Source organism: Homo sapiens, chromosome 5 (genome assembly GCF_000001405.40).
Source record: "Homo sapiens chromosome 5, GRCh38.p14 Primary Assembly".
Taxonomy (NCBI): domain Eukaryota; kingdom Metazoa; phylum Chordata; class Mammalia; order Primates; family Hominidae; genus Homo; species Homo sapiens.
In genome coordinates this window covers 5,779,891-5,796,713 of record NC_000005.10, presented here as the reverse complement: position 1 = coordinate 5,796,713, position 16,823 = coordinate 5,779,891, and the positions used below count along the sequence as shown (strand labels likewise).

The 16,823-nt window shown below is 41.3% G+C and overlaps 1 long non-coding RNA gene across 1 annotated transcript; it reads right to left on the bottom strand.

Annotated features, from left to right (window-relative positions):
* Positions 1–440: 440 nt before the first annotated feature.
* LOC105374636 (uncharacterized) lies at positions 441–8,436 on the bottom strand. Its single transcript, XR_925733.4, has 3 exons — positions 6,218–8,436; positions 2,569–2,713; positions 441–1,676 (listed from the first exon to the last, which is right to left on the bottom strand). It is a non-coding gene; the product is annotated as an uncharacterized LOC105374636 (long non-coding RNA).
* Positions 8,437–16,823: the final 8,387 nt, after the last annotated feature.

Genomic DNA, 16,823 nt, shown 5'->3' with positions numbered 1-16,823 from the left:
TGCAGTAATAGTTGTGCTATTCTTATGGCCCCTGTCCCAGTCATTGCCTGAGAACCCACAGAACTGGGTTCCTTAGAATATGGCCAAGCACTATAAATCAGCCTGTTTGTCTAACCACGTGTCAAAACAATTGATGAGTCTTTCTTTTTTTTTTTTTTTTTTTTTTGAGACAGCTAGGCTGGAGTGCAATAGGGCGATCTCAGCTCACTGGAACCTTTGCCTCCCAGGTTCAAGCAATTCTCCTGCCTCAGCCTTCAGAGTAGCTGGGATTACAGGCATGTGCCACCATGCCCAGCTAGTTTTTGTATTTTTTTGGTAGAGACGGGGTTTCACCAGGTTGGCCAGGCTGACCTCAGGTGATCCGCCTGCCTCGGTCTCCCAAAGTACTGAGATTACAGGCGTGAGCCACTGCTCCCAGCCCAATTGATGAGTCTTTATTATTCATTCCTCAATTTAGAATGTTTATTTCAGATTATTTTCCTGAACTTTGAGAATTATCATATAGAATTGTAATACATTTTTTCTGTAAAAATGGTTTACACTTTAAACACAGTAGCTCTCTCTAAAGGATCAGGGAAACAAACTGTGAAGAATATGGAAAGCATTATGCTGTAAGGGCTAAGTGCAATGTGGTTTCAGAATTTCTGACTTGACTCTATATATTTATATATATTGATGTCTATATATAAAAAGATGACAGCATAGCCATATATATTTCCTGACATAAATCAAGAAAATGGCATTGAATAAATTCCACATTTCTGTGTATCTGTTCAGGTTAAAAGAATTTCTATATTAAGCCCGGCAGATGAAATCAGAACTCTTTCAAATTAGCAAATGCAGGCAGTGGATAAATTTCATCCTTGACATGGTCTCTTGAGGGGCGTCTAGGCATTTTAATACAAAATGAGGAGCAAGATATTCTCTACAGTGAGCCCAATTTGCCTTTGCGTTCCTACCAAAGCATGTAATAATATTCATTCATTAGCGGTTTGGTTGGTGTTATTATGCAGAACAGAAATGAGATAAATAATAGGCACTCTCTAGGCCACTGGAGCACAATTCGGTCAGTGTCACCGTGGATGTCACTGTCTGTTTCAGCGAGCTTATTCCATAAGCCCACAGGATTCCTAACCACTAAGAGAACGAGATGATCATTGTCCTAACTGCAGCATCCAGACCATCCCTGTCCTGGAAGTCGTACTGGGATGGAGCTTTTTCTGAGGCAAGAGCAGTTATAAAAATAAACTCCAGTGTCAGCTGCAATGTACATTAGCACCAGCATCTTGAGACTGTGAGTTGAGAATCAAGTGACAAAAGTCAGTGCCCCAGTCTGGTGAGCATGCTGGAAGATTGTCAGGTTTCCCTCTGGGTAAGACTCACATGGTGCCAGCTGGCCTCTCTGACAAGAGCTCTCCGAACTTCTGCTATCAGTGAGGCCGCATTACTGGAAATGACACGGTGGAGAGGTCAGCCATGCCCTGTGTTGAAACTCTCAGGGATCTCAAATAGACGGTCTAGGCAGTTGGCTCAGAGCCTTGAGAGCTGATCGGGGCAGGGGTTTAGCCGTACGTTACAGTGGCCATGGCTGGGCCAGCAGGCTGAAGACTGGCTTCTGGTGTTTTCTGTCTTTCATGTGTGCCATTGACAAGTCCTGGGGGTCTTGTTTCTCCTCCCTAAAATAGAGATGACATTACTGCTGTAACTATTTGATAAGGTTTGAGGAACAATCACAGGAAAATATATTGACAACTGTATATTTCTCTGTCAATGTGAAATAAAGTATTCCTATCATAACATTGTATTTCAAAAACTATTATTTTTTCCTCCTCTAAGTCAGAATCTATAATCCCCACTCCTCAGGTGGAAGACTCGGGCCACAGAGAAACTGATCACCTGGCCCCAGATCCCAGAACAAGGTGCTGTGAAAGGAAGCACCATCACCCCTCTTTCCTCATTTCCAACGGTGCAGGGGGCATGGGTGAGAGGTGGCTGCTGTCAGAGTTTCAATCCGGGACAGGCCAACTTCACGTCTACTTTTTTTGACTCCCCAGGATATCTCTAATTATTTTAAAAGATATACTAAATTATCAAATGTATGTTTAGCCAAAAATCGATTTCGATTTGCTTTTGAGGAAGGTTGGCAGGTCATGCTAAAAGTGTATCCATTAGGCCAGCTCCTCAAAGAAAAAAAAAGACAGGTCTTTAAAATAACAGTCGCTAATATTAATCGCAGGTCTTGTCTCAAGAGACTCACAGCAAGATCCAGGAATTGATCTTATCGATCTGCACAAAAACCCCAGGGAAGGAGGGAGGAAAACAGGTGCAGCTTTTATTTTCTCACTGAAAGACAAGACAATTAAGGCTGGGAACCAGCGTCAAGGAGCTGCCAGGATAGGGGCCTGGGGGTCTGACTCTGGGGGTTCATCCATGAAGGTCCCCTCTGTGGTGTGAGTGTTCTCATAACAGTGTTGCATGAATATTCATGGATGCAGCCACTTAACATGGGAGCCAGCTTTATCCCATTTGGGCCATCACCATCAACAGCAACCAGGCTTTTAAATTCACCTTCAACATGTTCAGCCCTTTGATTCCTTTCCTTTTAAGATAACACTCTTTATAAAAGAGCCGTCATGTTTAAATAATTTGTCGATGAGAATGTCAAGTTGGAAGGCTCTGAATTTACGCTCACACAGTGGAAGGCATCTGTTCTCTGGAAAACAAAGGGCCATAAATATCAATATTAGACAAGAATTCCAGGCCCCCTTCCCCCACTGGTGCATTTCAGACTTAATCATTAGCAAGACCGAGCTCTGCTCATTAGTTCTACCCATGGGATAAGGCTGCTTTATTATTGTCAAGACTTAGGTCTCTAATTATTTACAGAACATTTAGTTGAGGGCAGAGAGACCACAAAAGAGACTCCTGACCTTCAGGACCTTGGTGAAGGCAACCTACAGGCTAGCAGGGGGAACCCGGGACAGAGTTGCACACAGGAAATCGTGGTGGTTTTTCTCTGAAACCACAGCACAGCATCAGATGGAAAGATTCCCCAAACCTGTCAAAGGGGAGATGCTGGGATATGAATCCCATGATTTTAGTGCTCTACTCTAATTTTTCATAATGACTGTTTCTCAATGTTACCTATATTGTTTTGACAAGTACCTATTTAAGGACACAAAGAAGACGGATATTTTAAGGTGTGGGAGCTAATGTGTGTCAGACTCCATTATTTTCAGTGAAATAGATAGATTCTCTCTGTGTGGGAGGAAATGGGGCACAAGAGACAGAGAGGCAGTTTCTCTGCATCCCCAAAGGTATTTCCAAGTTAAAACCTAGATGCCTGTGAGAAGATAGAGCAAGAAACATCGTATTGGATGTTCCAGCCAGAGGAATGACTGACGGTATGCGAAGGGGAGGGACCATCAGTGTGTCCTCATGAGCCAGGATGGGGGCAGGCTCTCTGTGAAAGACTAACTCACAGCAGATGAGGACTCAGAAGGACAGGGCTCTTTAGAGATGCCTAGACTCCGCAATCCTTGCTGTGGAACATCTGGGGCTGGCTTGTCACTCAACTGTGATTACATGTTCCTTGTGGCACATCCAGGTCAAGATGTCAAGATTCTTGCAAGTTGAGTGGCTTTTGGGGGGTCTGGTTGTAGATTTGAGCTTGACAATGTGATACTCATGCTCTTTGCATCTTAATTCAACAAATATTTATTGGATAACTCCTACTGCTGGACAGTGCTCTATGTGTTAGAACTCTTGACATAATATTGCACATATGACAAGATGGTCATAGACACAAATTGCAAGAAGATCCCACCAGATAGACCCATCTGGGTAATTTGTATCCCATATACAAATTCATCTGGGTAATTCAAAATCTCGTATGTATAAGGAACCTTCCAAATAAAGTTCGAATTCTAGAATTGCCTCCAAAAGGACTCTTTAGATAAAGGCAATAAAAAAGTATGAAACTTACAACTGCCTCACCCTCCTGTTTGTACACTCACTTTCCTTCCCCAGCCCCACCTTCTCCTGACCATCCATACCACCCCAATATCCTTAAAATTACAAACTTCATGTGAAACATCCCAGTACTTCCTAGTCCATAGACTATGCGCCTTTTCCTTTTCCATCTCTGAGCCATTGCTGAGGACTTCCGAATCCAAGGATCCCATGGAGTGAGAAACTGAAGAATTGAGACTTGTTTTAGATACAGAGCTTTCCCTGACTTCTTGCTCACATGATCTTTGAGTGAGATCAGAAAATGCAAACACTTGGCTTGAAATGGCTAGCTGGCATGACCCTGAAAGGAATTTACAGCAAATAAAGAAGAGAGCTCTCCTACTGGCAAATGATGGCAAAAGGCTGCGATGATGATGATAGCTTGGTCTAGAATTTCTGCTTAAAAGCACAGCAGGGAGGAGAAGAATATCTGAGGTCAGGCAGGGAGTCCTGAGGTACCTCTTGGTGCCTCTCTGCCCTGTGGCCACAGGGGAGAGGCAATTACAGTAACCACAGCCTACAAAGAGAAATGGAATCAAAGACCAGACTCAGACAGAAGAGATGAGGCCAATGCAAGCAGCAAATGTGGAAAAGGGAGAGACAAATGTCAGTTACAACCTGAGACAACCCCAGCAATGGAGACTGTAGCTTATTCTAGAAATTCCCTTCTTTGATGTCTTCTAAATTGTGGCAACATATGCATAACACGAAATTTACCATTGTAACCATTTTTTAAATTCACTGTTCAGTGACATTAAGTACATTCACATTGTTGTGCAACCATCACCACCACCAGAACTTTTTCATCTTTCCCAACAGAAACTCTGCACCCATTAAACACTAACCCCTATATTCCCTCCCCCAGCCCCTGGCAACCACGATACTACATTCTGTCTCTATGAACTTGACTATTCTAGGTGCCTTATATAAGTGGAATCATAGGGTATTTGTCTTTTGGTTACTGGCTTAGTTCCTTAGTTCACTTAGCATAATATCCTCAGAGTTTATTCAGGGTGTAGCGCATGTCAGAATTTCTTTTCTCTTCAATGCTGAAAATATTCCATTGTATGGAATAGTTTTATCCATTCATCCATTGATGGACCCTTGAGTTGCTCCACCTCTTGGCTGTTGAACAATGCTACTATGAATATGAATGCATAAATATCTGTTTGAGTCCCTGCTTTTAAGTTTTGGGGTATATAATCAGAAGTAAAACTGCTCGATCATTTTATGTCTTTTTAATAGTCTGTGGCCAGCCACCACCTTGACGATTAAGATAGAGTGAGTTCAGTGTGATCACGCATAGATCCAAGTGGTGCTGGGGCACGGGGAACTGCAGCTTTGGGTACCCCATGCCCTGTGGTCATGTCCCCACACAGACTTTATGTAGAGCAGGTAGGCAGTTCCTATATGGGCTGACAGCATCCCACCCCAAGAGTTTCCCTCACCTCTGCCTCAGTTTTGTGTGTATGTACGTGAGTGTGTGTGTGTGTGTATGTTTCATTCCCCCTCCTTTTTTTTTTTGGGACAGGGTATCACTTTGTCACCCAGGCTGGAGTGCAGTGGTGTGATCTCAGCTCACTGCAACCTCTACCTCCTGGGCTCCAGCAATCCTTCCACCCCAGCCTCCTGAGTAGCTGGGACCACCGGTATGCACCACCATGCCCAGCTAATTTTTTGTATTTTTGGTGGAGACGGGGTTTTGCCCTGTTTCCCAGTCTGTCATTTTATTTCATTGTTGTTTGCTTGCTTGTTTGCTAGTTTTCTGGAAAGTCAATGTAGCATTTTCAGCTTGAGGACAGGGCAGCCTGGAAATGTTTGGGAGAAACTTCCTCTGGGACAAACCTTCAACCAATGGAGAATAAAATTAGTGACTAAAACCTGCAGTGTGTCATTCTTTAGATGGGCAGTTCTGAGGCATGTCCCTGTGATGCTTGAGTGTCCCTGGCAGGATCGAGCTCCAATTCCCTCAGTGGCAAAAGCTCAATAACTCACGAATCATCACTCCCATTTCCTCCCTGTCTTACTGTCTGCACTCCCAAATAAACCACCTGTGCCCAAGCCCAAACCTCAGGTTCTCTGTTAGGATGATCCCAGAAGAAGAAGATAATAAAAGTCCTTAGTTGGCCACATGGATGGGCAATAATTGCCAAAAATTATACATACATAAAGCAAAACAGCCCCCTCTGCTCACAGATTTCCTAACCTTCCAGAGTTGAGATCTTCTGTTTTGGAGTAGGAGTCTGTCCAATCATTAGAGAAGAGAGAGCATGTTTTTCTTATCTGAAAAGAAGGAGGAGAGATTAAAAAAATTAGACAGAAATATGCCAAGAAAGCTAACAAATCAGAAATATTCATTTGTACATATTACCAGCCAAATAAAAGCAGAAGTTTATGATAGTGGTGGGTGTGGGTGTGTGGGTGTGTGTGTATGAGGTGTGTGTGTGTATGAGGTACGTGTATGTATAATGTGTGTATGTGTATACGTGTGTGTATATATACACATACTGTTTGTTATGACCATATTTTACCACTGTTTCTGAATTCATGGTATAGATATAACATTTTTTGCCCAACTCATAAATTTATAAAATATACAAAATCATGAGGGTATTTTTCAGGTTATAATTGCTCACCAGTTGATATTTCATGTGTAATTAGCTTGGTTTCTTTCTGAGAGTGTAGAAACCTCTGAGCAGGCACACACTGGAAAACTTATTTATTATGTGCATCTACATTTTGAAATGAATAGGTCATATAATAAAAAATGGTTGATCTTAATAGGCTCTGCTTAATTTCATACTTTATCATCTTTTGAAATATCCCAAGAGTGAACACCAAGGAAACTCTTAATGTTTATGATTGAGATGATTTATGTTTTAAATTACAATGATTTCTTCAGTTTTAGAAACTAAGAAGGTCAGTTCATAGTACGAGAATTTTTGAGAATTCTTGGAATTTTAAGTGAGCATGTTACATTAGTGTCTACTTGTTTTATGCTAAATCACTGTAACAAAACAAAAAGTTGATACTGAAAAAAAAGTTGAAACAGAAAAAAAAAGATGGTTCCCATCTGTTGTGTACTGAACTGTGCCTCCCCAGCCAAATTCATGTGTTGAAGCCCTAACCCTCCAGTGTGACTATATTAGAGATGGGGCCTTCAGGAAAGTAATTAAGGTCTAGTCAGGTCGTAAGGGTGGGGCCCTAATCCAATAGGACTGGTGTGTTAGTCTATTTCCACACTGCTGATAAAGACATACCAAAGACTGGGTAATTTATAAAGAAAAAGAAGTTTAATGGACTCACAGTTCCACGTGGCTGGAGAGGCCTCACAATCATGATGGAAGGTGAAAGACACATCTTACATGACAGCAGGCAAGAGAGAATGAAAACCAAGCCAAGGGGAAACCCCTTATAAAATCATCAGATCTCATGAGACTTATTCACTATCATGAGAATAGTGTGGGGAGAAACTACCCCCACGATTCAATTATCTCCCACCAGGTCCTCTCACAACAAGTAGGAATTATGGGAGCTACAATTCAAGATGAGATTTGGGTGGGGACACAGAACCGAACCTTATTAACTAGTGTCATGAGAACAGGAAGAGGCGCCAGAGGCTGCCTGTTCTCCCTTTCTCTCTCTCTGTGCATGCACAGAGAAGAGGCCAAGCAAGCTCAAAGTGAAAAGGCACTGTCTATAAGCAGGAAGAGAGGCCTCAGCAGAAACGGTTGCGTAAGCACAGGGCCTGTGATGTTCTGTGTGACAGCCCTTGCTGATGAATATGCCAGCACTCCTGCATTGGATGATCCCTAAGAATGGGTGGTTTCACTTAACTCTGTGCACCCCAAACCACTAGGGCAATATTTTAAATTTGGCAGATTATCCGTGAATTCATATTTATTGAATTCGGATCAATTCAGTAAGTGTTGATGGTGATTACACCGAAATGTGAAGTCTCTATCTTGAAGATGAACAAGTTACAGGCCTCACTTTTAGAGGTCTTGCACCCTCACGACTGGTGAGTGGGTAACTGAGCTGTTCCTGTGCATACGTCCCATAATGCACACATCAGACAAGCCAGGGCAGCATGCCCATGCAAAGACAAGACGATCTACTTATCTGTGGTGGGATTTCTCCTTGCAGTCCAAATGTCTAAACAGTAATGTCATCATCAGTCAAACAACTACAAGCAAACATCAAGCAGATCCAGTGAATCCTACAGATGGGGTCAGAGGTTACCCCCAATCTCGCTGCATCCCCCAACAAGATATCAGCCTAAGGCCCACTTCTTTCCATGGACAACCCCTTTGGTATTTGTACTCAAATCCCATAAAAAAGTTTTGGCAAAACACTTTAAATGTACTGCACTCTGTCTTTGCACCTCACTCCCATGGAAGTGCCAGAAGCTGGGCTGGGCCACCGACTTCTGCCCCTACCAGGACTCCTTCCCAAAGAAGCTGGGGGAACACATGAAAAATCCCATGACGCTGAATTCGACAGCCACCTACAAACCATAAAACATGGAAGGATGTCCCTGTGTGGCCCTGTGTGCACTGCCTTGGTCACTGGGAAAGGTCAGGTGCAGCCTGCACTTCTTCAGCGATATGGCTGCCTCCACAGCTGTCCTGGCTGGTTCCCATCCACATGCCATCTCTTCAGATGCTGACATAGGAAGGCAGCAAATTTGTGTCCCCCTTGTCAGCTGAGATGGGTTCACACTTTGATGATGTTCATCAACTTCCAAAAGCTGTGTTAAGCAGCATCAAAACATGTTTCCTAAGGAAATAATTTGGGAAAGATTGAGTGTCTAACTCATAAGCCACCTTATGTTGAAGGATATCTAGGAATAATTTTACCAACACTTTAAAGAAATTTGTGGAGCAGAAGATGGGCAGAGTCAAAGTGCCACACCCACAGCAGAGGGCTCCAGCTTTCTAGTAACACTTTGCAACTCACTCAGGACCCAGCTGAGGTAGGAGAGAAACAAAGCCCAGGAAACGAAAGGAGAGAGGGAGAATCATTACAGTACCAACAATGACATAAAAAAACTACATAAATAGAAATGAGCTGCAGCTGCTTCCCCATCCTAGGGATGGCAGGGCCCTCCTTCCAGTGGAATAAATCATTGTCTCTTGGGTCCCCATTGCAAAACTCACAGCAATATCTGGAAGGAGGAGTCAAGAGGCTGGGTTGTGCTGCAAAGTCATGAAGGGAAGTAATTTGAAGTTTCTGCAGGCAGTTCACAATCAATGTGCGGAGGGGTGTGAAAATGAAAAGGAGAGCAGAGGGACAGAAGAGAGAGGAGCCTGTGAACTGGGTGGGAGGCCTAGGCCCTTCCAAAATATACCATCAGTAAAAGAAATCCCTGGTGCTAGGAAGCGTCAATGCCTTTCTAAGGATGGAAATGCTGGCCAGGACAGCTGGAACTGTTTGCATCCCAGCAGACAAATAATTCCTCCCAGATTCATCCTTTGCTAGGCTCTAAATGTCAGTAAGATTTTCTATACATGTTAGGTTTATGTTCCACGTGCTTTAAGTTGATGAAGGAAAAGGGAACTTGTTATCTGCAGCATTTTTCCACCCTACTCCCCTCTTCTGGTAACCAATGTTAAAAACAGGTCAAGCATCCCCCACTCCTCCCCACTCACATTTTCATTTGCAAACTCATAATCAGCCTCCTCTGCTCCTGGCTTCTCTTGCATAACAAATAAGTGCTCTGTGAAAAGCCTGCTGGGTCAGTGAGGAGCTTTGGAAAGACCACATAACGTTTTCATATTTACAAACGTGTTTGCATACTTGTTTCTTTTTTTACAGCTTCCATTTCTTTGCTGAGATTTTCTATCTTTCCATTTGTTTCAACAATGTTTGCCATTACTTCTTGGCACATTTTATAATAGCTTCAACTTTTTAACATATATTTCCAAAATCTCTGCCATCTTGGCATTGAAATGTATTGAATGCCTTTTCATGGGTAATTTGAGATCTTCCTAGTTCTTTCTATGATGAATTTTGAATTATATTTTGGACACCTGAGTATTATGTTATGAGACTTTATGTCTTGTTTAAATTTTATGAAAAATGTTGACATTTTCTGTTTCAGGTGACAATCACTGGGTCCAAGCTATAAGTTATATTTAGCCTCCTGTAGGTCCACTATTCCATTTTCAAAGACTTTGCTGCACCATTATGATCTGTAGCTCTGTAGGTGACATCCAGTCTAAAACCTAGGCAGTAGAGTATATCCTTTATTCTAATTCTTAGGGTTTTTGGCATGCTGTTTTAGAAAAGCACTATGCATCTGCAATTTGAGTTGAGCCTAGGAACTGGTAAATAATTTCATGGGGTTGTTTTTTAAGTTATTCTCTCTCTATAATGCTCTCAAGTACTTTTTGGTTTTCTAGAATTCCCCTTTTTTTAATTCTATACCCAAAAAAGCTAGGGCTTTATTTAGCCTACCTACTATACACTTCCCTGACTATGCCAATCATTAGGGCCAAGGAATGGGAAGACATTAAAAAAAATGAAACAAAAATGTTTACCCCACCTTCTTAAGACAAAAGCTCCCTTGATCAGAGAAGTTTCCTTCCTTCATAGATTTAGGCACTTATGGGTCCAGCTGCCCTTGTATCTCCAGGAGACAGCTTTATTGCTCCTTGTGCTGAGCTAGAAGTTTTCTTCTGGAGCTTTCTTTGTCCACACTGATGCTTACCTCTGAGTTTCATGTTATGTTGCATCTGGGACAGGAGAAATTACAAACTTGGCCCTGGTTTGATGGTCCTCCAAATTCTGGCCATTTTCTTCAGTGCACCTGGTACTATTTAAATCCAGACTTCTCAAATAGTTGATCCCTGCATTCTGTCCGGGTCTTATAGCTTCATTCATAGAGGCACACAAGGTAACATGTGCTTACTCAATCTTACCTGGAACTAGATTCTTGCCAAATGTGTTCATCATCCTGATTTCATGTCTTGTGATTGAAATAATCACTCCCCTGTTTAAGTGGAAATGAATTTAAGTTTTTCATATGCATTGTTTAATTGATTTCTTATAAGATCCTTATTATTTCACCACTCTAACAGAAGAGGAAATTCAGACAAAGAGCCTAGAGTCACAAAGCTAATATGTGGCAGACGGGGCTCAGAACTGTACCTTTAAATGCCAAGTCTAGCACTTTCAGTGCCACTTCCTAGAATTTTTTATAAGCAACATAATCAGCTGGGACACATATTCTTACAGAACCAAGATTTTCCTTCTGGAATGAGAAATCAAAAGCTTTGCATAAAACAGAATTTTCTTCTCATAGACTTGAATTAGAGTGATGATGATGATGATAATGGTAACAACGATGGTGATTTAAGAATTTGTCATAGCTGATGTTCAAAGAAGTAATTATTTTCAGAAAAATGTGTGTGTGTATGCTCCTACAAACCTCCTCTATCAATATATCCATCAAGGATAAAGTATAACCATTATCATACTGTTCTCCCAAATTTTGATATGTATGTATTTATTCTTTATATAACCCATGTAGCGTTTCCTTAGGGACCTTCGTGATGAAGAGTATCAAGACCTCAGATTGGGTAGATCACATTTCCGTAGTAGAAAATATTGTTTTATTTTCTTGGAGCTTGATGAATAAGAAAAGAAATGAGATATATTCTCTTCCTGTTTACAGAAAAATATTACTGAGAATGGATGGCTAATAGTAATTTCAAAATTTCTGAAACAGAATATTGAAACTACTGAATATATATTTTCCAATTTGTGTGTGTATATATAGAGAGAGATTATATAGATAGCTTTATAAATCACCTCCTTTCCTATTGAGAAGTAAGAATTTTATATTTTCTACTAAAATTGAAAATGGAAATTCCAGTTATTTAAAACTCTGAAAATGAAAGCCCTCTCACAAGAATTCCCCTGATGAAACTTGCTAGAGGCATCTGGTGTCTCTGAATTTTAATAATCTCTTTTTTAAAAAAGTTTTCTTTTTTATCACACACATTGAATGTAAGCATTTGTTTTCAAGCTTTCGCCTCACCTCCATGTAATCAGAATAATAAATATGGTAACTCCGTCTTTCAGCCGGAGGCTTAGAGAAGTATGCCACTGAAAACCTTCCACATCCTTTGATAAACACTCCCTTAAGGCTTTCTGCCTGCCTTGGAAGCTTCCAGGGTGTCTGCATTTTTCCCTTTTAAAAGGATGAAACCGAAAGATATATTAGAGAAGGAAAGGAAACAAATTTGGCATACGATTCCATAACAGGAAGTCCTATTTGGCATTGAAAGGAAGAAAACTACAAAGAGATTCAGGAGAAACTTTGCTTCAAATAGACCTTTTTTATTCTAACAAAAACAAATAATAAACAATGCCTCCTTCCTTTCACTTCATCTGTTCTGGGGAAAGAATAATTTGTCACAATGACGTCACTAGAAGCAGACTGCCTCTTGGAAAGGCCTTTCTCCACTCTGCTCCCTCACAAGAGAAGCCACATCTTCAGGGGCCAAATCCCTATCCCTCCGGTTCCAAACATGCGTATGTATGCTAAGAGCCAGTGCTAGGAGTCAGAGAGAGGCTATTAATGTAAATATATTTTCTGATGGTTACAGTCTCCGTTTTAAGTTCCTGTCTCTGCTCACTAAAGAATATAGTTGTCATGACAAAATACAATGTACAAGACAATAAAGTTTCTTTTTTAAATTATTATTATTATACTTTAAGTTTTAGGGTACATGAGCACAACGTGCAGGTTAGTTGCATATGTATACATGTGCCATGTTGGTGTGCTGCACCTACTAACTCATCATTTAACATTAGGTATATCTCCAAATGCTAAAACTTCCCCCTCCCCCCACCCCACAACAGGCCCTGTGTGTGATGTTCCCCTTCCTGTGTCCAGACAATGAAGTTTCTAATTATCCAACAGATATGAATGCTGACCATTACATTTGTACCTTAATGTAAGTAAATCCAATAAAAATGTGTCTCAGTGCCAAACTACATATCCAAAGTCTCTTCTAATTTTAATAGTTTATGATTCTAGAAAACTATTAGAGTTAATATCTAATCCAAATTATAAATAGATGTATATATATATATATACTATATACATGAATACTTGCGGTGTTTGACTACCTTGTAAATTATTTTGAATAGTTGAGTCTAAGTATCTAAAATATTTAGTCTTTGAATTTCATGAAACTATTATATTGATTCCACAGTATCATTGCAAAAAAGAATCTACTCAGCAAAGAAAAATTTTAGCCTGGTCACATTATAACTTTTGAATGAACTGGAACTTAAACGCTGAAATGTAACTGCATTGTTAACCAAGTTTCATCTTAAACTGAGCAGGACTTAAGGAAAACCCTGGCTTCTGTTTAAAAATATTACTTTTTAACAGAACAATGGTTATGATAATTCAGTCATTGCTTTGAAGGAATTTATAAAGAATGTGAATTATTAAGATTGGCACCATGCCTCTCACTTGGAATGTCATTCCATGAGTGTTCAGAAAGACAAATGCATTCATTCACCAGAACTGATCACAGAGCTACTTTGTGACAGCAAGTCCATGGGAAGGCTACAGGATTAACCAAAATAGAGCTCTATTCTGCACGGGTCAGTCCATACTGACAGTCATTCATTGTTGTTATTCTGAACATTATAGGAAAGACTCATTTCTTCTTGATGATCCTAAGAAATTATCCTAATCTGTTACTAAAGAGTCTGTTACTATGGATTCATTGTAGAAAATTTGGAAGAAAAAAATTTAAATGTATGTATATCTCAATACACAGATATAACCACTGATAATAATTTGATGATACAGTGTCTTTCTTACAAGTGCTTTTCTATGCAAATACACACACACTGTATAGGTATATGTATGTGTACATGTACATGTAGAGATAGCTAGATTGATGTTTTGAAAGTGAAGTTTACCTAAGTTGGTGTTTTATGTGTGTGTTTGTTTGTCTCAACATCTGTAATGCAAGTGCTTCCCATGGGAGTGGGGTGTGGCTATCCGGCTCTGAAGTTTAGGACTGTAGCCTGAATGGGCGGTTGTGAGCCATTGAAGCCATGGCGTAGGCTCAACACCTCAGGAATCTTGTGTCTTTTGTCTGTTAAGCACCTGCTATGTGCCCCACTAGGTGGGCTTATATTTGTTTGTTTCCTTCCCATGAATCAGCCAGGTGCCTCCTGGTTTAAAGTCAGGGAGGGTGAGCAGCGAGGCTGGGTCCATTCCACAGGGATATGGATTTGCAATATGGACTCCTGATCATTTAAGTGTTGCTGCTATCAAAATTAAGCCCAGGCATATCTTCATCCTACTGCCTCATTCTTTCACATTCAGCTGGTAGCCAGTGGACAAGATATTTTTTTTTTTTGAGACTGAATATCCACCCAGGCTGGAGTGCAATGGTGCGATCTCAGCTCACTGCAACCTCTGCCTCCCAGGTTCAAGTGATTCTTCTGCCTCAGCCTCCCAGGTAGCTGGGACTACAGGCCTGCACCACTACGCCTAACTAATTTTTATATTTTTAGTAGAAACGGGGTTTCACCATATTGGCCAGGCTGGTCTTGAACTCTTGACCTCGCGATCCACATGCCTCAGCCTCCCAAAGTGCTGGGATTACAGGCATAAGCCACTGCACCCTACCTAGTGGACCAGATCTTAGGGTTCTCTAGCTGAAGGCAGAGAGCATATGCAGAGCCTGTGGGTCCAGAGACAAGTTATCCATGGCCACTGCCCAACACACTTCTGCAATCGGAAGCTGGAAATAATAAGAAGCAAGAGCAAAGGTGATTGGTTAAATCATTTTCTATTGTTAGAGAGAAACATTTCCTGATGGGACCCAAGATTGTAGAGAAAGAATACAAAAATCACTCCTGTTAATGGGACAGCAACAAATATTTTACCGTCTCCAAAAATCAAAGCTTAAAAGGCAGCAAAGAAAAAGCTGAGCCTTAGAAATTTATTTCTAAGAGAAATATATCTATTTCTCTTAGCTCTCAGGCTACCCTGATTTGTGTGCCCCTGCATGTATGGCAGATGATAAGGGCTCTTCCGCGGAGAGGAGCTCATTAAATATCCAGCAACTTAATACGATCAGCCATGGAGCCCCACCCACATGACATGCATGAGCATGTTCCAGATGAGAACTGCTAATACCAGAATGTCCTCTAGATGAGGTATCTATGTACCCTCCCACTAGCTTTCAGGGGAGTCCCAGCTTGCCACAACCTAGCCATATTGGATCTAATCAGTCATGTCCTTTCTGTGTCAATTAGATGTATGAAAGCATGTCACTGTTGCTTTAATTCTGTTTCTGTTATTGTTAGTGGATGGATGTCCTTCCACCATGCCTTCCCCTCCAGATCTCATCTTCTGCTATGGCCGTCTTTGCTCCGTGTGTGCCTTGCTCTTTTACCTATGAGGTTGCCTTTTTTCCATAAAAAATAATAGTAATAACTACATTTTCTGAACTCTTACTATGGTCCAGACATAATGCTAAGGATGTAATAGATATTACTTACTTGGGCTGGGCATGGTATCTCACATCTGTAATCCCACCACTTTGGGAGGCAGAGGCAGGTGGATCACTTGAGGTCAGAAGTTCCAGACCAGCCTGGCCAACATGGCAAAACCTCATCTCTACTGAAAAAAAAATACAAAAATTAGCCAAGTGTGGTGGTGCCCGCCTGTAGTCCCAGCTACTTGGGAGGCTGAGACAGGAGAATCGCTTGAACCCAGGAGGCGGAGGTTGCAGTGAGCCAAGATCAAGCCACTACACTCCAGCCTGGGTGACAGAGTGAAACTGTGTCTCAAAACAACAACAAAAAAGATATTACTTGAATCTTCAGAACAACCCGATGAAGTAAGTACAATCATTATCATCCCATATTACAGAAGGACAAGGTAAGGTGCCAGGGGGTTAAATGACTTGACCAAGATCACACAGGTAAGGATTACACATAGTACTGGACAGATAGTAGGTCCTCGTTAACTAGTAGCTACTATTATTACTGGTATTATTGTCTTATTTATGTATTTTTAAACAGACCTTAATTTTTAGAGCAGTTTTAGGTTCACAACAAAATTCAGGGGACAGCACAAACAGTTGCCATATAGTTCCAACCCCCTTCACACACACACAGCCTATCCTGCCATCAACCTCCCCGCCACAGTGATAAATTTGTCATGCTCAATTAACCTATGCTGACACATCATGATCACCAACGTCCCTAATTCACATTAGGGCTCACTCTTGATATTGCGCACTCTGTGGATTTGGACAAATGTATAATGACATGGACCCACTATTACAGTATCATAAAGAATCATTTCACTGCCTTAAAATCACCTGCTCTCTATTTATTTTTCCTCCCCTTGACTCCTAGCAACCACTAAATTCTTTCTTTTTTCTTTTTCTTTTTTTTTTTGAGATGGAGCCTCACACTGTTACCCAGGCTGGAGGGCAGTGGCATGATCTCAGCTCACTGCAACCTCCACCTCTAGGGTTCAGGTGATTCTCTTGCCTCAGCCTCCCCATTAGCTGAGATTGCAGGCACCTGTCACCACGCCTAGCTACTTCTCGTATTTTTAGTAGGGACGGGTTCCACCATGTTAACCAGGCTGGTCTCGAGCTCGTGACCTGAAGTGATCTGCCTGCGTCAGCCTCCCAAAGTGCTGGGATTACAGGTGTGAGCCACCTCGCCTGGCCTAACCAATGAAATTTTTAATGTCTCCATAATTTTACCCTTTACATAATATCATAGATTTGGAAGCATATAGTATGTAG